The 26,072-nt window shown below is 36.8% G+C and overlaps 1 protein-coding gene and 1 long non-coding RNA gene across 6 annotated transcripts in view; one reads left to right on the top strand and one right to left on the bottom strand.

The window, feature by feature from the left end:
- The window catches only part of CRPPA (CDP-L-ribitol pyrophosphorylase A), a 334,014-nt gene that overhangs the window by 149,064 nt on the left and 158,878 nt on the right, over positions 1-26,072 (top strand). For all 4 annotated transcript variants that reach the window (NR_160656.1, NM_001101417.4, NM_001368197.1 and 1 more), the window contains 2 exons: positions 13,463-13,555; positions 13,993-14,085. Coding sequence is in view for 3 of the 4 variants with exons in the window: in NM_001101417.4 (NP_001094887.1) it covers positions 13,463-13,555; positions 13,993-14,085 (186 nt within the window). In the remaining variant the exon portion in view is untranslated. The remainder of the gene's footprint in view (positions 1-13,462; positions 13,556-13,992; positions 14,086-26,072) is intronic.
- Positions 1,871-26,072, bottom strand: part of CRPPA-AS1 (CRPPA antisense RNA 1) — a 60,119-nt gene continuing 35,917 nt past the window's right edge. The window contains exons 3-5 of one of the 2 annotated variants that reach the window (NR_038946.1): positions 10,379-10,576; positions 6,164-6,248; positions 1,871-3,618 (exon numbers count right to left, since the gene is read on the bottom strand). This is a non-coding gene — a long non-coding RNA (CRPPA antisense RNA 1). The remainder of the gene's footprint in view (positions 3,619-6,163; positions 6,249-10,378; positions 10,577-26,072) is intronic. The other variant, NR_038947.1, reaches the window with a different exon arrangement.

Here is a 26,072-nt window from a genome sequence, read left to right as displayed (position 1 = left end):
GTGGGTGTGGAGCTGCTCAACACATAATGGGAGGATTGTTTTGTTAACATGAAAAGAAAAAATGTTTTCCTTTGAAATTAAGGGAAAAGATTGGGTATGTTTATTGTAATTATCTGTACTAGAATTTTGCAACATACCTTACAGGTGAACCAAACATCTAACTTTAATGATACCCACCAAATACCTGGAAGAGGTTGTTAAAAAGTTAAGTAAAGAGCTAACTTGGGGAGAGGCACCTCTCCTACTCCCCCCATTCACAGGCACTTTTTACTGATTCTTAAAGGACAAGGCTTTGCTATCAGTCTTGCTATTTTCCTCCTCCGTTTTTCTCAGCAATTTGAAGTATTTCACAGACCTTACCAGCTTTGAAGATAGAGCTCTCCAGAGATAGATCAGGGTGGTAGACAGTTTTAAAGGGACCTCTCTCACTTCTTCCCAGTTTTCAGTAAATATCCAAAAATAGTTTATACTATATACTGAACTGAAGGTAGTAAGGAATTTATAAGTGGGAAGATATGATTAGTCTTTTATTCCTAAATTCTCTAGTTTATTTACCAAATAATAAATGCCTGTCATGATATAGTCACTAGATACAGGGAGTTGAACTGAGCAAGTATGATTTCCTATTTCCAAGGAGCATATTGTCCAGTTGGGGATAAAAAGTAAATGAATGCAAATTAAAATGTCAAATTGTGATGAATATTCTAAGGAAAACATAACTGTGCTTATATAAGAGAGCCAGAGAAAGTGACTTAGATTGGGAGTGGAAGGCAGTAAGTGAAATCTCTTGGCAGATGTGGTATTTAACTTAAGTCTTTAAGGGCAATAAATAATTATCTATTTAAAGAACAAACCAGAAGTAACAGTATGTGAAAGGCACATAAAGAGCTTCATTGGGGCACAGAAAGAAAGCATCTGTGGTTGGAGATGCAAATGGAGTGGAAGTGGGAGTAGCAAGAGACAAGGAAAGAGCCTTGTAGGCTTTTTATGTTGAGTTTACCACTTCTACTGTTACCGTTGCTACTATTATCATTTATATATTGTTTTAAGGGGAAAATGAAGTGAGAGAAGACTTTATTTGAAAATGACATGATCCAGTTTACCTTTACAAGAAGATTATGGTGGCTGCTCCTCTTAAAAGTACAGTTCTACAGAGGAAACCTCTGCAGTACTTGTTTTCATACATCACATTACCTCTAAATGCATATAAGCGTGTTCAACCCAATATTCATTCCTGTAATAAAAGAATGGAACTCCTAAAGAATGCTGATCTATACTCTGAACAAACAGGGACTGTAGGGGCTTTTCATGTATTTTGGTTATCCACTCCTTCCTGTTTCCTGGAGGACGTAATTTAATTATTGTTTTGAGTAATCACAAATGACAAGCAGGGTGTAACTGAAAATCACGTGTAAAGCATGCTCTGATTTTGTTGAGGCTGTTCTATGGTACTTAGTTTCTTTTTTTTTTCCCTTATGCCCTCAAGGTTGTGTCCAGTGTATGGATCCATGCCTTTTGTTATAGACCTCAGTAAATTCACCGTATGACATATTAGTCAAACAACACATCAAAACTAGCACATGCAATAAAGAAAAGCGGAGAGAACATAAACAGAGCAAATTAAGCCACAGCAGCATCCTAAGACCTATCCAAAACAGTTATTTTATGCTTATTTTGATACATATTATATTTTAGCGTGAATATACAGGATTTTCATTTGTTTGCACCTGAATACTGTATAGTTAATAACAATGAAATAACACTGGAAAGCTACTTTTTTCTCTTGCGCCTCTAACTGTGAACAGCACCACATTTATGTGTTACATGCATGTGTATACAAGAATATAGAAACTAGCCAAAAACCATCTCATTAAATCCATTTGATTTATTTGGTATGTTAGCCAGATTTCCTGAGCAATTCTCCAGAGGTGGAAAGAAACTCCAAAATGATAGACCACCTAGTTGAAGAAGATGGTATGAATTATATTGATGTTGTATTAAATAAAATTAACAATTTATATTAATAACTGATTGTCATGGTTTTAAAATATTAATTGAGGGAGCTAGGATAATTTGCTTTAAATGCTATTTTCTCTATTTTTTTCTTTGTGTATTTCACATATCTTCATCTTTTTAATTATTTATATTCTTGAAATACAGGAACCTGTTGAAATATTACTCTTCCTAAAGGAACCAGATGGTTAATCTGTAAAAATGGTCTTTTGCATCTTGTCCGCTTAGAAATGAGGTCATTGCTTACAAGTTCTGGACAACCATTATACTAAGCTTACAAAATAAAAACAGAAACCAGCCACCACCAATTTTTGGGCATGTATTCATAAAGTCAAGTCTTAGCCTTTAACTCAGGAAATTTTTTGATTTTACACATAAAGTAAATATGTTTAGAAGGAAAATCCGTACAAAAAGTTGACAAAGTTGTTTTTGTATGTAGATTATAGTTAACCTTCAACAATTGATTTTGAAGAATGTTGTATACTAAATTGCTTATGCTATTTAAATTGAGATGTAGCTTCAGAACTCAGTCATTTCACTTCATGTCATTAATTTTTTTTCTCCAGTTATAGGATACATGATGTTTGCAAAGCATCATTTTGTGCTTATGTTATCCCTAATAATTGAGTTTGGAAATGTATTTTATGTCAAGTATTTGTGTGTAGTATAATTTTACTTTACAATGCCACAGAGTAGGTTATTCTGTTGTTCTAGTAGCTTTAGCTAAACAATGGTTCCAAGGTTTTGGTGGTTCTGGGAACACTGAATCAAATATACCACTTTGAGCTTATAACCACAGTACATTATCGTGTTATCTTGTTACTGGAAAACTTCTTTCCAAGGCCTACAACTTGTGTTAAAAAAAGTTTACCTTTCTCTCTTACGTTGGCACTGTATACCTTAAATGACTATTCAGTATATGAGGGTAAAAAAAAGTCTATACAGCTTGATCCGTCATTGAAGATCTTCTGCAGTCTACACCGACGTTTTTTGTCACAATGTTATTGCTGTTGTGGCTCAACATGTCTTGAAACGATTAGTCTTCTACCTCTTTTGCACTCTATTCTACTGGATTGCATGCCTTCTCTATTTGTCAATTTTATGTTATAAGGCTTAGTTGATTACTCTTTCCATGAACTTGTCCCCAGTCTTTTTTTTTTTAGTTATTGGATCTCCTAAATTACTCATCAATTGTTGTGTCATTCTACATATCCTGCTTATTATTTATCCATTTGCGCATGTCTTTCACCGTCTCTTATCACTGATCCCTCACACAGTGCTGTGGAGATGGAAGGAGTCAGATAAATAGTTGTGGTTAAAGATGAGAGCATGATGAACCAGCAAGCTTCTGGAGTACCTCTCTACCGGGCCAACAGCCAAATATGTTGCTGGAGATAAAGAGGTCGCCTCTGGGCCATCCATCAATCATCGGAACAGTTGAGAAGAGTTTAAAACACAAAACTCAAGAAGTTCGAACTGATTTTCTAACCAGAAGAAAAAACTATGTTCACAAAAGGAGGCAAGAGAAGGTGCTGGTAGCAGATGTTGCAGAGATTAGATGAGCTGGAGTTAGCAACAGTGATGAAATTGGTGGTGAGCAGCCTTCTGTCAGGAAAGAAAGACAGTGTTGCAGAAATGAGCACTGCAGAGGGGACCTTCTAGTGGAGTGAAGAAAATAAGCCATAAGCAATATTTTTAAAATGTATTCTGTAGACTCTACCGTAAGATTCTATATTACATATTTGAATCTATTTTTCTATATTGTCTAGAAATGTACTGTTTAAAAAATATTATATGGTATATACTTAGTTCTGAAACAAGTCACATGATCGAGTTTTTGTTCAAAATGTAATTTATCCTTAGTATTTTTAAAATATTTTGAACCTCTAAGCTAAACAATGTATATTCAACAGGCTCCTCATAAGTCATAATGGGAAAGTTGTATGAGAGGGAAATTTTATGTATAAATATTGCAAGTATATTTCTCATACAAGAGGAGTATACATTAATGAAAAATAGTTTGCTTATTACATAGGGTTTGATGGCAGTTTTCAGGTTGAACAAATATTGGGATGGTGTCTGAATATTCTTTAAAAGACTATTGCATGATTTTCTTGGGATTACATGTGAAAGGACTCTTCGGTAAGCTATTCATACAAATTATAGCTGATTTTAATTTTCTTTATTTTCTATCATTTTGTAAAAACTAGGTGGAAAATGGAGGTTGTTGAGAACCTTTTTAATATTTCTTATCTAGACATTTGTCTAGATAATATTTCTTATCTAGACAATTGTCACATTTGCAGTACAATATCAATCATGTCATTTAAGTGATTGTCATTTTCTCATCACATGATTTTAATATGGAAACAGGCTGCAATTATACTTCTATATACAGTTGTCCCTCAATTTATATGGGGGTTCCAGGACCTACCTTTCTGCTCTACAAATACCACAATTTATGGGTGCTCTAATCCGTTACATAAAATGAAATAACGTTTACATATAACCTATATACATCTTCCTGTATATGTTAAATCATCTTTAGATTACATACAGTCCCTAATACAATATAAATGCTATATAGTTACACTGTATTTTTATAAATTTGTATTTTTATTGTTTAGTTTTGTTTTTCAAATGTTTTTGACCCACGCTCGAATCCTTAACTGTGGAACCAACAGATTCTGGAGGCAGACTGTACATTTAGACAGAATCTTTATTACTTAGGAAAAATAAAAACTTTATGCATTTAAATTAAATTACGTTGTAAACTTAGCAAGAATTTGAGGGAAAAAAGTTGAATTAATGAATTGTTTAATTTTAGTCATTTATGTTTGCCATACCAATATATGTAATAAAGATAAAGGCAATGGCTTTGGCTCAGTAAGGTTGCAGTTTTCTTTCATTTGCTAGATGAGGACACACTCCTCAGTAAATATCTACTCAAAATGAGAGATGACTTTTAGATTAATGTGGATTCAAATGATAGAACCTTTTGCTGGCTCAAAGTGTGATCCAGGCATCAGTTATATCAGTATCAACTGTAAGCTTCTTAGAAATGTTTATTCTTAGCTTTACCCCAAATCTAAAAGAATTAAAATCTGCATTTATAACAGGATTCTCAGAAATTCCCATAGACATTGAAATTCGAGAAATACACATCTAAAATTTATTTTGTTTTCCCATTAGGCTATAAACTTCTTAAGGGCAGAAACCTGTCTAGTCATTGACATGGTCTCAGTATACAATTTAGTGTCTGGCTTGTAGCTATCAATAAATATTGGTCAAATGAATGAAATTATATTAATCCATCAATGGCTAAGATACTCTGTTCTTTGTGACCTTGTTTTATTTTTAATTAAGACAGATAGGATTTGTTCATTTTAACTTGCCAGTTCTCAGCTTGCAAATGTTTTATGCATTACTAATAAATATAAAGGGATCATATTACTGTTTATATCTTTTTCACATATCATTAGTGATTTCCACTAATAGTTACAGAACATGCCTGCCAAACATGATATATGAGTTAATGCCAGTCGTTTCCCATCTACTACACACTGTCTTTTAGTTATAGTATAATCTGTCATGAAAGCTCGACAGAAAGAAAAGCAGGGTGGTATTTTGCAGCTTTACAATTTGTGTTGATACTATCCAACTTTGGATGCATAATAAAACGGGGCTGGGCACGGTGGCTCGTGCCTGTAATCCCAGCACTTTAGGAGGCCGAGGCGGGTGGATCACCTAAGGTCAGAGGTTCGAGACCAGCCTGGCCAATATGGTGAAAGTCCCATTCTACTAAAAATACAAAAATTAGTCAGGCGTGGTGGTGAGCACCTGTAATCCCAGCTACTTGGTAGGCTGAGGCAGGAGAATTGGTTGAACCCAAGAGGCAGAGGTTGCAGTGAGCCAAGATGATACGACTGCACTCCAGCATGGGTGACAGAGCAAGACTCTGTCTTAAAAAAAAAAAAAAGAAAAACAAAAAACGGGAGCCTTAAATTCTTTGTGTCAGGTGCTCAAGGTTTGTTAAATTTAGAGCTTGTCATTTTCCATTCCATGGTCCTTGTAGTGTTGCATTAGAACAATAGTTGGCTTTCAACATGAGTTTTAACAGTGAGAGATGGATGCACAAAGGAAGACTTACCACAATAATGTCTTCTACCACCAACTGCTCAGCACACGTTTAATGCAGTGGGTCAGAAGCACTTGACATTACTTTGATATCAAATCTGAAGATTGAAATTGGAGGACACTTCTTAAATACTTTCTACACTATCCAGGATCCAGAAACATCACAGTTAAGGGAATGTGTATACTGGCAATTAAGATTGTTAGTACTTAACTGACTTCCTCCAGAATACATGTTCCTCCCCGACACCCCTTCCCCCGGAGTTGACTTTGGGACATGTAGAATTACTCCTCTCTGGGTAAGGGTGTTGTGATGTCTGTGACAAGGTAATAGTACCTAGAGTAACACTGATGTCCAGTGTGCTTTAGAGGTTATGTATGTGGACCTGGGAGTTCCAACAGACCTGAGTCTGAGTGCTAGCCCCTTACTGGCTGTGTAATCTTAGATTATGCAAACTTTTGTGCCTGTACTGCATTATCTATAACATGAGGATGATGATAATACCTGCCCGTGCATAGGTGTACTATGCAGTTTTAACAAGATAATTGTTGAAAGTATTTAGCGTAGATTCTGGCAAGTTATAAAGCCTCAATAAATGTATTAAATGTAAAGGGATAATGGAGATATGTTTTAAAGGGTCCTCTAAAAGTGGAAGTTAAGAAGTGAGTAGAGTTATAACAGCAAGCATTTAATATAGCAGTGTGCATTAGGTGACCCAAAACATGAATGCTACTGGGTCTTTACATATATTCAAAGATGAATGACTTGACAGTACACACATTAGACTTCAGACTTCCTAGAACAGTAGTTGTTGGGAAATGTCCTTGGACTCAGACAGAGGCAGTGTCCACTGCACTATGTAGCACTGCAAATGGATCTTCCGGGCTGAATGTTAGACTCCAGTCTTTGTGCTGTGACTTTTAAGTTGCATAGTGAGGGAAGCACCAGTCCTTTTCCTTGTGTGATAAGAGATAGGGATCCAATAGCAGTGCAATGTCTCAGAACCTTGGTTATAGTACTATTCTGCCTACCCAGCATCTAGGATTGGGAGAGTATCAAACCTGCTTTAGTATGACCAGCTAGCTAGGGTTTAAGTCCTATGGTGGCAGGTCATGAAGTGGAAGGCCACTGTTATGATCCACCAGCTTACCATTCATGGTTAGCAGCCTGTAGCTTATATAACCTAGCCGACTGGTAACCCAATTTATTTATTAGCTTACAACTCTACCAGGATTGACTTCCTTAAAGCCTTCTACGAGGACAAGCTATAGAGAAGACATCTTGGAAAAGTTAACTCTTACCCTTCACATATTAGCTTAGCCAATCCTCATATAAATTCTATGATGTACTCATTTTACTGAGGAGTAAACTGAGCCACAGGACTTACGTAACTTGCCCAAAGTCACACAGCAACGACGTTCTGGAGATAGATTCAAACCCAGGGATCTTGGTACCAGAGTCCATGCTCTTTAGTACACACATGCACACACATACAAAAAGAAAAGCTTAAAAGCTTATTCTAAGAAATAGTAAATGCTGAATGCTAGAAAGGCAAAAAGGGATAATTGTTGGCATGTTCACAGAGTGGAAAGAAAATACATCTCTCTACAAGTCACTTGTGCCATTGTTTGAATGGTAGAGAGGCTAGAAGTTGGAAGATTCAGACTCAGAGATGACCCAGCCAACGTTTTCTGTAAAAAGATGATTGACTTTTCAGAAACACATATTTGAACTTCTGACTCATGGGAATTGAACCAAAACCTTTCAGCCTTAGTTAGGCCTTAATGCTTTTTGAGATGAAAACTTTTTTGACAATCCATCTTTATTCCTAATATCCATGCTTTATATAGTATTAATATTGTGAATACACAGATGTTTGCATTTAGTTTACGGTAAATCTTTCCTAAACTCTTATTTGTTATGATGTAAGGAAAGTTTGATTTTTTGTTGTCGTACTTTAATTTACTGAACACATTGGAAGTTGTTTTAAATTTTGTTTAAATGTCCTTTGAACCAAAATATTTACAGAAGAAACTCTAGCCAGCAGATTGTTTCATTTGTTGTGTTTGAGTGTGGAAACATCAGGAATGACAGCATATGATGATGCTTAGGACTTTTTTTTATATATAAACAACCTAATAGCGTTGTCTATTGTGGTCTTTGTTGATTAAAAGTGTCACAGATACCTTTGCTATATTTAGGTAAAATCTAAGTTTCTTTACTCAAGCATGGAAAATACTGATTGTTTTCTGGTTGGGAGGAAAGCAGTATGACTAAAAGAATTACACTGAGCTGGAAACAATTATTAAGAGTCTCAATTTCAAGAAGAAAAAAAATTGCAGTTTGGTTTTTCAAGAGTACAAAAATACTAATATTTGATAACTTTTATGTAAATATTGTGTATGCATTTCTGTCTTAGTTTATGGGCATTAGCTAAAGAATGACTTTAAGTGCAGTTTTAAATGTATCATGTAACTGAACAAATATATTTTAATTACAATTACAATAACACTATATGGCTGGGCATTGTGCTTTCCATATATCTATATTGTACATTCTTTTTTTTTTTTATTTTGAAATGGAGTTTTACTCTGTCGCCAAGGCTGGAGTGCAGTGGCACGATCTCAGCTCACTGCAACCTCTGCCTCCCAGGTTCAAGCAGTTCTCTGCCTCAGCCTCTCAAGTAGCTGGGATTACAGGTGTCCACCACCATGCCCAGCTAATATTTGTATTTTTAGTAGAGACGGGGGTTTCACCATCTTGGCCAGGCTGGTCTTGAACTCCTGACCTCAGGTGATCCACCCACCTCGGCCTCCCAGAGTGCTGGGATGACAGGCGTGAGCCACTGCGCCTGGCCTACAATTGTATATTCTAAGAGTGTATATCTTACTAACTGTTAAAGTTTAAGAAATACATAATAGCTTTGAAGAAGCAAGTAGATATTGAAGTCAATATGGGCCGAAGTTGTCATAGGTATGAATGAGCCCAGTATTTGTGACAATAGAGAAAAATTTCTTTAGAGTTTAAGAATATTTGTGTTGAAGAGTGGAATGGGTGGCTAGGATTTGAATAGGTAGAATATAAGTAGACTATGAAGGGCTTTAATGTCAAAGTCACTATTTTAGATTTAATCTAATGGGAGTTACACACACAGACATGTAATATGTATATAAAGTTACATGTTTTTAATGAGAAAAATGAAGCTCTTCTAGGAATACTTAAAATACTCTTAATGGTTAGGGAATACTTGCCTTTTGTCTAAAGATGTACAATATAAAAATAAAATAATTCCTTAAAGTACTTAAAAATAGTAGTGACAGCCAGGTAAATATGATAAAGATCATTCATAAAATCTTCCTTCTCCATTGCTTTAAAAACAATAGAAAATAAGCAAAATTAACAGTAGCCAAACAAACATGAGGGGCCCCACTTAATGCATACATTTTTAAAAGTAACAGTCAAGAAAGTAAGTGCAGATGATAATCTGGCTGATGTCTTCTAAACCCTGCCCGTGGATCTCCCAGACCTTGTAATGGGGGCAAAAGTTGATTCATTAAGATAATTCTTTTATTTTTAACTTAGAAGCAGATTGAGAAGCTGAAGTGTGAGAGCCAAGGAGAATCCTTTAAAAGTAGAAAATATCTCAATTTTCTGTGGCATCTCATAGAGACAGAGAAAATTATCAGTGTCTGATTTTGTTTTAACACTCTAATTCATAGAAAATAACCAGGAAAAGTACAATTTGTACTTAAAAAATTATAATGCACATAAGAAGTAAACCTGGATAAAACCTGAGACCTCTTCCTTCTCCCAAATTATACCTTTTTGTTCTGTAGAAGAACTCAGTGAGAATCTGAATTCAAGGTTAAAAATTGAAAACACAACATTGTAAGAGATTAACAGTGATTGAATAGGAAACAAAATTATTATGAAAGCAGCGCTATTAAAGAACTAGTCGCTTAGAGAAACAATACAGCAAGTCAGATAACTGAGGGGAGAAAAGTCAAGATAATTGCAGCATATTCCAATTTAAAAAAATGGTAGCTAAAGTAGAGTAGGTGTTTAGATGACTAAGGCAGCCAATGTGTGGACACTTTTCATGTATCAAGTAGAAAAATAAATAAATTCTTCAGAAAGCTAAAAGAAAGTTTCCTTGAACTAATTCTATTTGATCTAAAAGGGCATATTTTCAGGAAAAGTTGAGAAATAACAATTCGTAATAAAACTTACTGTGGTTGATTTGGAAATTCCCCATGAAGAATACTTCAGGAAGACATCAAGATGCAAAACCCATAAACAAGCAAAACGTAGGATAGTCCAACCTCATATATCTACAGTATTCATTCCAAATATAATGGAGGATTATCTACAAACATCCGAGGGGATGAAGGTGATATCCAAGACTATCACCACGAGCCAAATTTTTCTCTGGTAATAAAGATAAAAGAAAAAAACCTCAAATGTAACAACTATGCGTACTTGGAAGGGCAATGGCGGGGTAGGTGGGGGAAACTGCTTGACATTGAAATCCAAGAAAATGAATGGAAAATGGCTGAATGACAAATGGAATATAAGAAGCAGAAGGAAAACATGTAACAATTAAAAATAGTGGCACAGTGATTGCAGATCTGTGAGGGAAAGTATGAACCAAATTTTTATTCCTAGATAAACTATTCTTAAGCAAAAACTCAAGGAACCTAAAAATGTTACGGCTTTTCTTAAAAAAAAAAATTGCTCCAAAACAACCAACTACTTGCCCATATTCATCTAATAATGTGAATTAAAATGAAAAATTTAGAATTGGGGAAAATTTTGTTAAGTCACTTTCCTTGAAGGTAGATAATGTCTAATGTTAATTATGGCCACAAAATAGAATAAGAATCTAATAAACGTTTTAGATTTAAAACAGCATGATTGACCAGACCTAGACTATGGGTAGAACTTAAAATGTGCTATCTCCTTCTCTCACAGAAGGAAGTCAGTGAATACTGACTTACAAAAAGAAGTGAGTTGTCATTAAGAGTGCAGTGTCTTTATCCTGCTCAAGGCACCTCTTCTTAACCTTTAGAAATTAAACTTCCTGGAAATGAATTATCTAAAATTTAGCAACACTTTTGGTTTTACTACATTTGGTTTTCATTCACTAAAATTACATAATTTAAAATGACATGCATATTATTCTATTGTAATGCAACATTCGTACTTTTAATACTTCATTTGTCTTTCCTGGTTACTACATATATTATTCATAGAGAATTGTTGGAATGATACTTACCTTTCAGAGTAATTATTTATATGTAGTATTTTTTGGTGAGTTTTTATTTTTAAAGAACTTTCCCACATTGTTCATTTTAAGAACATACACTATTTTCTTGACACAAGATATTTTTCTTTAAAAAACTGGTGGCAAAGTTTTGTTTTTGTTTTTAAAATTATTAAACATTTGCTAGTGGTAAAAACATGAATGTTTCTGTCCTCAAAGATCCTAAGCTCTGTCCTAAAGAAATTTATTTTAATACTTCAAAAAAACTGAATCAGAATATCTCTCATGTTTTCATTCTCTACATGCAGAAGGAAATTTTAAAGTAAGATTTTTTTTTTTCTGAGTTCAGAATTCACTTGTGCATCTTTGTTGAAGTTAAGATCTGGTGATATGGTTGCCTTATTTCATATCTGTGAAGTCAGAAACTTGGCAGGATGTGAGACTATACCTTACTTGCATGCAAATAAGTCAGCCTGACACAGTATCATAGATATTGGTGGAAGATCTGAGACTACAGAGTCAGAGAAAAGACCATTTATAACCACAGCAGTAGCAAGAACAAAAATGTAGCACTCGGTTTTTTTCTGAATTCCAATTTCCATGGAGAGATGCAATTAGAGTTAGTTGTTGCTGGGCAGTAGAGTTCTTTAAAAAGAACCTTGATAGTAGGAAACCCTGGCCTTATACAGGCAAATCAGCCCATCTGCTCCTCAAGAGATAACTCTGGAATGCCAAGTAAGCCTAATCCAGAGAGAGAGAGATGTCCCCATCTTACTGGAAAATAAATCTGTTCTAGGAAGAAATATCTCTATCTCTGCAATTTGTACAAACATCCTTGCAAAGGAAGTATGGAACAAGTTAGCTGTTAATGCCTTTGAAAATGTTTGAATACATGAAGGACTTTTGAAAAATTGTCTCCCTGTAATATCTAGATGTTACCACTTGATCAAACTTACTATCGCAGAATGGATACTGGTTTCTTTTTTTATTGTGGTGTTAATATATTGTTGATGACTATGGACTTTTTGGCTTTTTTCTTAAAAATCTTTGAGCTTTATGCTCAATATGAATTTTAAACTGAACTAAAATTTTTAAAATTTAATAGCCAACTAATTTCTAGAGTAAAGCTAAGACCTTGAAAACTTTCCTTTCTCATTCTCCAGTATTTTGTCAAAATTATAGCAAATTAAGCTACTAAATAGATAATGTACAGAGTTACAGAGTTTGATGTTTCACCAAGGAACAGCACTGTATTATTTTTAGAACTATGAAATGTAAAGCATTCTAAATGTAATACCAGTAAGAATCACTGAAATGTGATTTCCTGTGGAATTATTATAGCAAAGATATCACAGATCCCTTGTCTAGTAATTCTTAAGTTTTTGTTCATATTGTGATGATAGAAAAATCTTAAAAGAAGCTAATTAGAATATTAAACTATATGGAATAAAAAATCTTACTAGGAAAGTTTGCATAATATGTGTTCTTCTCTAAATCTAATCTAATCTCGGACTACTTATAGTAGTAGAAGTAAGTTCCCGACAGTTTTAGGAATAGTTTGTGTAGTTTAAGTCTTAATTCTCTCTCACTTATATTGTTGTGATGATTTCTTACTGCTTTCCCCATTTCTAGTTATTTCAGGTTTAGTGAAGTCTATTCCCTGTATTAAAACTGTGTTATGTGCTTCCAGATACCTGCAATCATCACTGCACCCTTTCTCTTTTAGTCCTTCAACATGCTCTTCAATATTTATTTGTATAAGATAAACCAGACTACTAGCCTGTTCCAGAATATATTCTGTTTATGTCCATATTTTTTTCCTATGTGAAACAATTTTCTATATCCTTGTTTGCTAAAATATGCATTATTCATAGCCTAGTTCAAATGACTATTTCTTGATAGCCTGATGAACTTCAGCATGTTTCATTTTTTTAAAAAATATATGGTCCTTGGCTTTATGGGCCTTCTAGCAATTATGTGTTCCTTTGTAACAAAGATGTTTATGTTTGGTCTATCTAATTTGTGAATTCATTTCTGTTTTTTCCTACTAGCATGTAAAAGTCACATCTGAGGCTCTGGGTCATGCTGGCAGACATCTTCAGCAAATCATCTTAGATCAATGCTACAATTTTGTTTGTGTGAATGTAAGTCAATTCAAATGATTGAAGGCACTTAAGGATATGAACAAATGTGGAAGAGAACTAATTTGATTCTTAAATATTTATATATGATATTATGATGAGTTCTTCTACACATTTTTGGAGATTTTATCTTTGAAAGAGAAATAATACTTTCAACAAGCTAATTCCCATAATGAGAAGAGTGGTATTTTGGACAATATTTTCAATTTTGTTTGTACCTGGTCCAAAGTAGGTAATAAGAGGCAGGTTTGACTCAATTAGTAGATAAAAATTTGACATGTATAACTTTATGGATATCCTTTAAAATTGTTTCTAAATTAAAAACTAAGTTTGATAAATATTTTGAATGTTATGCAGAATCTCTCCATTTATTCCTTGAAATAAGTTTTAAGTCATTTAAAAACGTCTTCTCATATCCTTTTATTTTTCTGGTCTTTTAGGTTACAACCTCTGATTTTCAAGAAACCCAGAAGTTACTGAGCATGCTTGAAGAGAGTAGTCTTTGCATTTTATATCCTGTTGTTGTTGTTTCAGTAAGTGAAATTAATGCAGATTTTTCTCAAACTTATGCTTCCTTCTTTGTAACTCAATGTACATATTTTTAAAAACTCATCCAATTGAGAGCATTGACCCATACTCAAAAGAAACTCTTGTTTGTGGATTCCTCTGCTTACTCTCTAGCTATGACTTCTATGACTGAATGCCTTTATTATTGCAATCATTTGGTTGAACTGACAGGTTTGGAAATCTTTTTCAACCCAGCAACCAATTTCATATTTTTTTCCTTCACTAAAATGGCAAAGTATTCGGTTTAAGTCAACTGGTTGTTTGGATATGTAAAACAGCTTTATTTAATATATTATCAGAATACCATTAGGGAAGCATTCCAGATGTTAATGTGAGGAAAAAACCTCGTGGAAGAAAGCTGATTCTTGGGTTGTTTCATTTTCTCTGTTCCACCGAAAGCAAAAGTAGAACACGAATTAAAGAGAATTCCTGGAAGAATGGCCTATGAAAAATTTTGGGAGATTTTTCCATGAAAATCTAAAAGTATACATTTAATGCAGAATTTATTTGATTAGCCCATTAAACTATATAGCAGAGGGGACTATCAGAGAGTAAACTCAGGAAGGAACAAAATCAGAGCCCAAGTCCTCTAAATTGGCTGAGGAGCAGAATGTATAGTTGGTAGCATTTTGCTGTGTGAAGGGGTTCCAGACCATAAATTCTCAGAAGTGCCTAGCAGCTTCGAAGTTCCTAAAGCTCAGGCCCATCCCATACTGTGGGAATTTAATTCTTGTCAGGTAGGATTAGTAATAAAGAATAAAGATAATTTGCAATATAAATAACTCTTGACTGAGTAATGCAAGTAGTAACAAATTAGCAACTATGGGAGATTTAATTAATTCAGTGGCCTCTTTATTTGGTCATATACCATAAAGATAACTTTCATGGTTGCATCTGGTTTTGAAACCCAAGCTTCTTATGTAATTGATCTTCATAGAACACAAGCTTTCATTGAGATTTTTAGAAACAATATGGAATATATCCAATGTTGGAAGCCTCTGAGGCTCTGTAGGATAGAGATAAGTTCAAAGTTCTGTGTTTGGCCTTTTATTCCTCTCTCCACATTTACTTGCTTAGAAATTTCATTTTTCCGTGTTCCCAGATATGGTGATGAGGCCGTCCAATGTAGTGAAAATAACAAAGGCTTTGAACTCAGAACACTTGTTTCTTGGTCTAGTTACTTAATTGTTCTGAGGTTTGGTTTCCTCGACGTAGAAACAAGGCTAATAACTCTACTTCTTAAGTTGTTATAAGGATGAAAGTGAATGAATGCAAAATGTAGTTTCTAGCACACTGCTAGGCCCTGATCAGGCATGTGAAGTTAGTTCTGTTTAATAGTATGGTCCTCTTTTTTTGTCTTTGGATGAGATGACTCCAAATTAACTTCCACAGCTCTAATCTGATTCCTAAGCTTCAGCCATGTATTTCCCAACATTTTTTTAAAATTATACTTTAAGTTCTGGGGTACATGTGCACAATGTGCAGGTTTATTACATAGGTATACATGTGCATGCTGGTATGCTACACCCATCAACTTGTCATTTACATTAGGTATTTCTCCTAATGCTATCCCTCTCCCAGCCCCCCACTCCCCAACAAGCCCCAGTGTGTGATGTTCCCCTCCTTGTGTCCATGTGTTCTCATTGTTCAGCTACCACTTATGAGTGAGAACATGTGGTGTTTGGTTTTCTGTTCTTGTGTTAGATTGCTGAGAATGATGGTTTCTAGTTTCATCTATGTCCCTGCAAAGGACATGAATGCATCCTTTTTTATGGCTGCATAGTATTCCATGGTGTGTATGTGCCATATTTTCTTTATCCAGTCTATCACTGATGGGCATTTGGGTTGGTTCCAAGACTTTGCTATTGTGAACAGAGCTGCAATAAACATACGTGTGCATGTGTCTTTATTGTAGAATGATTTATAATCCTTTGGGTGTATACCCAGTAATGGGATTGCTGGGTCTAATGGTATTTCTGGTTCTAGATTCTTGAGGAATTGCCACACTGTCTTCCACAATGTCACCAACAGTGTAAAAGCGTTCATATTTCTCCACATCCTCTCCAGCATCTGTTGTTTCTTGACTTTTTAATGATTGCCATTCTAACTGGTGTGAGATGGTATCTCATTGTGGTTTTGATATGCATTTCCAGTGATGATGAGCATGTTTTCATGTTTCTTGGCTACATAAGTGTCTTCTTTTGAGAACTGTCTGTTCATATCTTTCACCCATTTTTTATGGGGTTGTTTGATTTTTTCTTGTAAATTTGTTTAAGTTCCTTGTGGATTCTGGATATTCGACCTTTGTCAGATAGATAGATTGCAAACATTTTCTCCCATACTGTAGGTTGCCTGTTCACTCTGATGGTAGTTTCTTTTGCTTTGCAGAAGCACTTCAGTTTAATTAGATCCCATTTGTCAATTTTGGCTTTTGTTGCCATTGCTTTTGGTGTTTTAGTCATGAAGACTTTGCCCATCTTTATGTCCTGAATGGTATTGCTTAGGTTTTCTTCTAGGGTTTTTATGGTTTTAGGTCTTATGTTTAAGTCTTTAATTGATCTTGAGTTAATTTTTGTATAAGGCATAAGGAAGGGATCCAGTTTCAGCTTTCTGCTTATGGCTAGCCAGTTTTCCCAGCACCACTTATTAAATAGGGAATCCTTTCCTCGTTGCTTGTTTTTGTCGGGTTTGTGAAAGATCAGATGGTTGTAGATGTGTGGTATTATTTCTGAGGTCTCTGTTCTGTTCCATTGGTCTATATATCTGTTTTGGTACCCAGTACCATGCTGTTTTGGTTACTGTAGCCTTGCAGTATAGTTTGAAGTCAGGTAGCGTGATGCCTCCAGCTTTGTTCTTTTTGCTTAGGATTGTCTTGGCAATGCAGGCTCTTTTTTGGTTCCATATGAACTTTAAAGTAGTTTTTTCCAATTCTGTGAAGAAAGTCATTGGTAACTTGATGGGGATAGCACTGAATCTATAAATTACTTTGGGCAGCATGGCCATTTTCACAATGTTGACTCTTCCTATCCATGAGCATGGAATGTTCTTCCAATCGTTTGTGTCCTCTTTTATTTCCTTGAGCAGTGGTTTGTAGTTCTCCTTGAAGAGCTCTTTCACATTCCTTGAAAGTTGGATTCCTAGGTATTTTATTCTCTTTGTAGCAATTGTGAATGGGAGTTCACTCATGATTTGGCTCTCTATTTGTCTGATATTGGTATATAGGAATGCTTGTGATTTTTGCACGTTGATTTTGTATCCTGAGACTTTGCTGAAGTTGCTTATCAGCTTAAGGAGATTTGGGGCTGACATGATGGGGTTTTCTAAATATACAATCATGTCATCTGCAAACAGGGACAATTTGACTTCCTCTTTTCCTAATTGAATACCCTTTATTTCTTTCTCTTGCCTGATTGCCCTGGCCAGAACTTCCAATACTATGTTGAATAGGAGTGGTGAGAGGGGGCATCCTTATCTTGTGCCTGCCTCTTTCTTTCTTTCTTTCTTCTTTCTCTTTCTTTCTTTCTTTCTTTCTTTCTTTCTTTCTTTCTTTCTTTCTTTCTTTCCTTCTTTCTTTCTTTCTTTCTGTGTGTCTGTCTTTCTTTCTTTCTGTCTTTCTTTCTTATACTTTAAGATCTAGGGTACCTGTGCACAATGTGCAGGTTTGTTACATAGGTACACATGTGCCATGTTGGTATGCTGTAACCAGTAACTCGTCGTTTACATTAGGTATTTCTCCTAATGCTGTCCCTGCCCACTCCCCTCACCCCACTACAGGCCCCCATGTTTGATGTTCCCCACCCTGTGTCCAAGTGTTCTCATTGTTCAATTCCCACCTATGAGTGAGAACATGCAGTATTTGGTTTTCTGTCCTTGCAATAGTTTGCTCAGAATGATGGTTTCCAGCTTCATCCATGTCCCTACAAAGGACATGAACTCATCATTTTTTATGGCTGCATAGTATTCCATGGTGTATATGTGCCACATTTTCTTAATCCAGTCTATCGTTGATGGGCATTTGGGTTGGTTCCAGGTCTTTGCTATTGTGAATAGTGCCGCAATAAACATAGGTGTGCATGCGTCTTTATAGTAGCATGATTTATAATCTTTTGGGTATATACCCAGTAATGGGATCTCTGGGTTAAATGGTATTTCTGGTTCTAGATCCTTGAGGAATTGCCACACTGTCTTCCACAATGGTTGAACTAGTTTACAGTCCCACCAACAGTGTAAAAGTGTTCCTATTTCTCCACATCCTCTCCGGCATCTGTTGTTTCCTGACTTTTTAATGATCGCCATTCTAACTGCTGTGAGATGGTATCTCATTGTGGTTTTGATTTGCATTTCTCTGATGGCCGGTGATGATGAGCATTTTTTCATGTGTCTGTTGGCTGCATAAATATCTTCTTTTGAGAAGTGTCTGTACCTATCCTTTGCCCACTTTTTGATGGGGTTGTTTGTTTTTTTCTTGTAAATTTGTTTAACTTCTTGGTAGAGTCCGGATATTAGCTCTTTGTCAGATGGGTAGATTGCAAAAATTTTCTCCCGTTCTGTAGGTTGCCTGTTCACTCTGATGGTAGTTTCTTTTGCTGTGCAGAAGCTCTTTAGTTTAATTAGATCCCGTTTGTCAATTTTGGCTTTCGTTGCCATTGCTTTGGTGTTTTAGTCATGAAGTCTTTGCCCATGCCTATGTCCTGAATGGTATTGCCTAACTTGAACTCATCTCTGCACCAAGCGGACCTAATAGACATCTACAGAACTCTCCACCCCAAATCAACAGAATATACATCCTTTTCAGCACCACATCACACTTATTCCAAAATTGACCATATAGTTGGAAGTAAAGTACTCCTCAGCAAATGTAAAAGAACAGAAATCGTAACAGTCTGTCTCTCAGACCACAGTGCAATCAAATTAGAACTCAGGATTAAGAAACCCATTCAAAACTGTACAACTACATGGAAACTGAACAACCTGCTCCTGAATGACTGCTGGGTGAATAACAAAATGAAGGCAGAAATACAGATGTTCTTTGAAATCAATGAGAACAAAGACACCGCATGCCAGAATATCTGGGACACATTTAAAGCAGTGTGTAGAGGGAAATTTATAGCACTAAATGCCCACAAGAGAAAGCAGGAAAGATCTAAAATTGACACCCTAACATCACAATTAAAAGAACTAGAGAAGCTTGAGCAAACACATTCAAAAGCTAGCAGAAGGCAAGAAATAATTAAGATCAGAGCAGAACTGAAGGAGATAGAGACACAAAAATCCCTTCAAAAAATCAATGAATCCAGGAGCTGGTTTTTTGAAAAGATCAACAAAATAGATAGACCACTAGCAAGACTAATAAAGAAGAAAAGAGAGAAGAATCAAATAGAAGCAATTAAAAATGATAAAGGGGATATCACCAGCGATCCCACAGAAATACAAACTACCATCAGAGAATACTATGAACACCTCTACTCAAATAAACTACAAAACTAGAAGGAATGGATAAATTCTTGAACACATACACCCTCCCAAGGCTAAAGCAGGAAGAAGTTGAATCCCTGAATAGACCAATAACAGAGTCTGAAATTGAGGCAATAATTAATAGCTTACCAACCAAAAAAAATCCAGGACCAGACCGATTCACAGCCGAATTCTACCAGAGGTACAAAGAGGAGCTGGTACCATTCCTTCTGAAACTATTCCAATCAATAGAAAATGAGGGAATCCTCTCTAACTCATTTTATGAGGCCAGCATCATCCTGATACCAAAGCCTGGCAGAGATACAACAAAAAAAGAGAAATTTAGACCAATATCCGTGATGAACAACGATGCAAAAATCCTCAATAAAATACTGGCAAACTGAGTCTTGTGCTAGTTTTCAAAGGGAATGCTTCCAGTTTTTGCCCATTCAGTATGATATTGGCTGTGGGTTTGTCATAAATAGCTCTTATTATTTTGAGATACGTTCCGTCAATACTTAGTTTATTGAGAGTTTTTAGCATGAAGGGCTTGTGAATTTTGTCAAAGGCCTTTTCTGCATCTGTTGAGACAATCATGTGATTTTTGTTGTTGGTTCTGTTTATGTGATGGGTTACATTTATTGATTTGCATATGTTGACCCAGCCTTGCATCCCAGGGATGAAGCCGACTTGATTGCAGTGGATAGGCTTTTTGATGTGCTGCTGGATATCGTTTGCCAGTATTTTATTCAGGATTTTCACATCGATGTTCAACAGGGATATTGGCTTAAAATTTTCTTTTTGTTGAGTCTCTGTCAGGTTTTGGTATCAGGATGATGCTGATGCAGTCGTGATATGCTCTCTATCATTTTTTATTGTGTCTATTTGATTCTTCTCTCTTTTCTTTTTTATTAGTCTGGCTAGCGGTCTGTCTATTTTCTCAATCTTTTCAAAATGTCATCTCCTGGACTCACTGATTTTTTTGAAGGGTTTTCTGTGTCTCTATCTCCTTCAGTTCTGCTCTGATCTTAATTATTTCTTGTCTTCTGGTAGATTTTGAATTTGTTTGCTCTTGCTCCTCTAGTTCTTTTCATTGTGATGTTGGAGTATCAATTTTAGATCTTTCCTGCTTTCTCTTGTGGGTATTTAGTACTATAAATTTCCCTCTACACACTGCTTTAAATATGTCCCAGAGATTCTGGTATGTTGTGTCTTGGTTCCCATTGGTTTCAAAGAACATCTTTATTTCTGTCTTCATTTTGTTATTTACCCAGTAGTCATTCAGGAGTAGGTTGTTCAGTTTCCATGTAGTTGTACAGTTTTGAGTGAGTTTCTTAATCCTGAGTTCTAATTTGATTTCGTTGTGGTCTGAGAGATGGTTTGTTATGATCTCCATTCTTTTACATTTGCTGAGGAGTGTTTTACTTCCAATTATGTGGTCAATTTTAGAGTAAGTGTGATGTGGTGCTGAGAGGAAGGTATATTCTCTTGATTTGGGGTGGAGAGTTCTGTAGATTTCTATTAGGTCCATTTGTATCAGAGCTGAGTTCAAGTCCTCATTATCCTTGTTAATTTTCTGTCTCGTTGAACTGTCTAATATTGACAGTGGGGTGTTAAAGTCTCCCCCTATTATTGGGTGGGAGTCTAATTCTCTTTGTAGGTCTCTAAGAACTTGCTTTATTAATCTGGGTGCTCCTGTATTGGGTGTATATATATTTAGGATAGTTAGCTCTTCTTGTTGCATTGATCCCTTTACCATAGGTAATGCCCTTCCTTGTATTTTTTTATCTTTGTTGGTTTAAAATCTATTTTATCAGAGACTAGGATTGCAACCCCTGCTTTTTTTTTTGCTTTCCATTTTCTTGGTAAATCTTCATCTATCCTTTTATTTTGAGTGTATGTATGTCTTTGCATGTGAGATGGGTCTCCTGAATGTAGCACACTGATGGTTCTTGACTGTTTATCCAATTTGCCAGTCTGTGTCTTTTAAATTGGACATTTATTCCATTTACATTTAAGGTTAATATTGTTATGTGTGAATTTGATCCTATCGTTATGATTCTGGCTGGTTATTTTGCCCGTTAGTTGATGCAGTTTCTTTATAGCATCAATGGTCTTTACAATTTGGCATGTTTTTGCAATGGCTGGTAACCAGTTGTTCCTTTCCATGTTTAGTGCTTCCTTCAGGAGCTCTTGTAAGGCAGGCCTGGTGGTGACAGACTCTCTCAGCATTTGCTTGCCTGTAAAGGATTTTATTTCTCCTTGACTTATGAAGCTTAGTTTGGCTGGATATGAAATTCTGGGTTGAAAATTCTTTTCTTTAAGAATGTTGAATATTGGCCCCCACTCTCTTCTGGCTTGTAGAGTTTCTGCTGAGAGAGCTGCTGTTAGCCTGATGGGCTTCCCTTTGTGGGTAACCTGACCTTTCTCTCCAGCTACCCTTAACCTTTTTTCCTTCATTTCAACCTTGATCAGTCTGACGATTCTGTGTCTTGGGGTTGCTCTTTTCGAGGAATACGTTTGTGGTGGTCTCTGTATTTCCTGAATTTGAATGTTGGCCTGCCTTGCTAGGTTGCAGAAATTCTCCTGATTAATATCCTGCAGAGTGTTTTCCAACTTGGTGTCATTCTCCCCGTCACTTTCAGGTACACCAATCAAACATAGATTTGGTCTTTTCACATAGTCTCGTATTTCTTGGAGGCTTTGTTCATTTCTTTTCACTCTGTTTTCTCTAATCTTGTCTTCTCGCTTTATTTCATTAAGTAATCACTGATATACTTTCTTCTGCCTGATCGATTCAGCTGTGGAAACTTGTGTATGCTTCACGAAGTTCTTGTGCTGCATTTTTCAGCTGTACCAGGTCTTTTATATTCTTCTCTACACTGGTTATTCTAGTTAGCTATTTGTCTAACCTTTTTTAAAGGTTCTTAGCTTCCTTGTGTTGGGTTAGAACATGCTCCCTTAGCTCGGAGGAGTTTGTTATGACCCACCTTCTGAAGCCTACTTCTGTCAGTTTGTCAAACTCATTCTCCATCCAGTTTTGTTCCCTTGCTGGCGAGGAGTTGTGATCCTTTGAAGGAGAAGAGGCATTCTGGTTTTTGGACTTTTCAGCCTTTCTGCACTGGTTTCTCCCCATCTTTGTGGTTTTATCTACCTTTGGTCTTTGATGTTGGTGACCTCCGGATGGGGTTTTTGTGTGGATGTCCTTTTTGTTGATGTTGATGCTATCCTTTCTGTTTGTTAGTTTTCCTTCTAACAATCAGGCCCCTTAGCTGCAGGTTTGTTGGAGTTTGCTGGAAGTCCACTTCAGACCTTGTTTGCCTGGCTATGATCAGCAGAGGCTGCAGAACAGCAACTATTGCTGTCTGATCCTTCCTCTGGAAGCTTTGTCCCAGAGGGGCACCCACCAGATGCCAGCCAGAGCTCTCCTGTATGAGATGTCCATCAGCCCCTACTGGGAGGTATCTCCCAGTCAGGCTACGCGGGTGTCAGGGACCCACTTGAGCAGGCAGTCGGTCCATTATTAGAGCTCGAATGCTGGGCTGGGAGAACCACTGCTCTCTTCAGAGCCATCAGGCGGGGACGTTTAAGTTTGCTGAAGCTGCGCCCACAGCTGCCCCTTCCCCCAGGTGCTCTGTCCCAGGGAGATGGGGGTTTTATCTATAAGCCCCTGACTGGGGCTGCTGCCTTTTGTTCAGAGATGCCCTGCCCAGAGAGGTGGAATCTAGAGAGGCAGAATCTAGAGAGGCGGTCAGCCTCACTGAGCTCTGGTGGGTTGCATCCAGTTCGAACCACCCAGTGCCTTTGTTTACACTGTAAGCATAAAACCGCCTACTTAAGCCTCAGCAATGGTGGACGCCCCCTCCCAGCACCAAACTCAAGCATCCCAGGTCGATCTCAGACTGCTGTACTAGCAGCGAGAATTTCAAGCCAATAGATCTTAGCTTGCTGGGCTCTGTGGGTATGGGTCCCACTGAGCCAAACATTGGAGGGAATCTCTGGGTCTGCCAGTTGCAAAGACCTTGGGAAAAGCACAGTATCTGGGCAAGAGTATACTGTTCCTCCAAGTACAGTCTGTCATGGCTTCCCTTGGCTAGGAAAGGGAAATCCCCTGACCCCTTGCACTTCCCAGGTGAGGCGACGCCCCACCCTTCTTCAGCTCGCCCTCTGTGGGCTGCACCCACTGTCCAACCAGTCCCAATGAGATGAACTAGGTACCTCAGTTGGAAGTGCAGAAATCACCTGCCTTCCGCGTGGATCTTGCTGGGAGCTGCAGACGGGAGCTGTTCCTATTCAGCCATCTTGAGTTGTCTCACTATTTCCCAATATTTTATTAGGTACTTCCATTGGAGTACTCCCCTTTCAAATTTAGCCTATCAGATATATCACAGAAGCGCATTCTCTGTAAGTTGACTTCTTTTCTTAATGGTAGTACAGCTGTGGCTCTACAGGCACCCAAATCGGAATCTGCCACCTGTGAGTTTTCCTTTTATGTTTCTCTCTCTGTCCCCCTCCACCAAATGCACAAAGACAGGCACATAGGCTCTCTTATAATTACTTTTTGAGTTAGAGTCTCACTCTTTTGCCCAGGCTGGATTGCAGTGACATGATTATGGCTCACTGCAGACTCAGCCTTTTGGGCTCAAGTGATCCCTCCAGCTCAGCCACTTGAGTAGCTGAGGCTACAGGTGTATGCCGCCACATTTGGCTAATTTTTTTTTCTATTTTTTGTAGAGATGGGGTCTCACTTTGTTGCTCAGGCTGTTCATGAACTCCTGGCCTCAAGCAATACTCCTGCCTTCCAAAGTGCTGGGATTACGGTCATGAGCCACTGCGCTTAGCCCTCAGTTTTGAACTGTTAGTTCTTCTGTTCATTGCTATTGTGTCTCAATCCTAGGCTTTTTTATTGCCTCTGTAAATATTTGAATTTAGTTTTCTCTTGACTTCTATTGAGTTCCATCTCGTGTGTCCCAGTGAATGGCAGAATTGTCTGGCTCTCTGTTGTTCCTGTACCAAGCTAAGAGAAAAGATAACCCTTTAGTTAGGGTGTACATGTCTCTCACAACTAGTTTTAAAATAGAATTAAAAGTCTGTATGCTAAAATATTGTACAATGTTTATTTTAAATCAGAACATTATCCCTTTATAATACTTGAACGTAGGCATACTTCAGTTTATTTCACTCTGAAGATACATGTTTTACAAATTGAAGTTTTTTGGCAACCCTGTGTCTGGCAAGTCTATTGGTACCATTTTTCCCACAGTGTGTGCTCACTTCCTGTCTCTATCACATTTTGCTAATTCTCACAATATTTTAAACTGTTTCATCTTTATTATATCTGCTATGGGTAGTCTATGATCAGTGATCTCTTATATTACTATTATTGTGTTGGAACACTGCAAATCATATCTGTATAAGGTGGCAAGCTTAACTGATAAATGTTGTGTGTGTTCTGATTGCTCTTTTGACTGTTTTCCTCATCTCTCTCCTTCTCTTTGAGATTCCCTATTCCCTGAAACAAAACAATACTGAAATCAGGCCAATTAATAACCCTACAATGACCCCTGTGTGTTCAAGTGAAAGGAAGAGTCCTGTGTCAGTCACTTTCAATCAAAAGATACAAAGCCTAATTTAGAGGAAGGCCCTAATTCCCTTCAATTCTGTGAAGGCTGCAGAAAGTGAAGAAGTTACAGAAGAAGAGTTTGAAGCTAGCAGTTTATTCATGTGGTTTAAAAAGACAGAATTGTCTTCATAACAGAAAAGTGCAAGGTCAAGCAGCAAGTGCTGATGTTGAGGCTGCGCTAAGTTATCCAGAAGATCTAGCTGAGATAATTGATGAACATAGCAATGCTAAATGACAGATTTTTCAATGTAGATGAGACAGCCTTCTATTGGAAGAACATGCCAGGTAGGGCTTTTATGGACAGAGAAGTCAATGCCTAGCTTCAAATGATAGACTGACACTTATTAGGAGCTAATGCAGCTAGTGACTTTCAGTTGAAGGCAGTGCTCACTTACCATTCTGAAAATCCTAGGACCCTTAAGAATTATGCTAAGTCTACTCTCTGTCTGTGCTCTATAAATGGAAGAACAAAACCTGGATGACAGCACATCTGCTTACAGCATGGTTTACTGAATATTTTAAGCCCACTTTTGAGACTTAATGCTCACAAAGAAAGATTCCTTTCAAAATATTACTGCTTATTGACAATGTACCTAGTTACCCAAGATCTTTGATGGAGTATAAAAAAATTAATGTTACTTTATATCTGCTAACACAACATTTATTCGTCAGCTTATAAATCAAGGAGTCATTTAGATTTTCATGTCTTATTTTTGAAGAAATACCTTGTGTAAGGCTATCACTGCCCTAGATAGATTCCTCTGATGGATCTGAGCAAAGTAAATTGAAAACCTTCTGGAAAGGATTCACCCTGTTAGTTGCCGTTAGGAACATTCGTGATTCATGGGGGGTCATAATCCAAACCTCATGGAAGAC

This window comes from Homo sapiens, chromosome 7 (genome assembly GCF_000001405.40).
Source record: "Homo sapiens chromosome 7, GRCh38.p14 Primary Assembly".
NCBI classification, from domain to species: Eukaryota; Metazoa; Chordata; class Mammalia; order Primates; family Hominidae; genus Homo; species Homo sapiens.
Note: the sequence above shows the minus strand (reverse complement) of the source record. Positions and strands in the feature narration are given on the sequence as shown.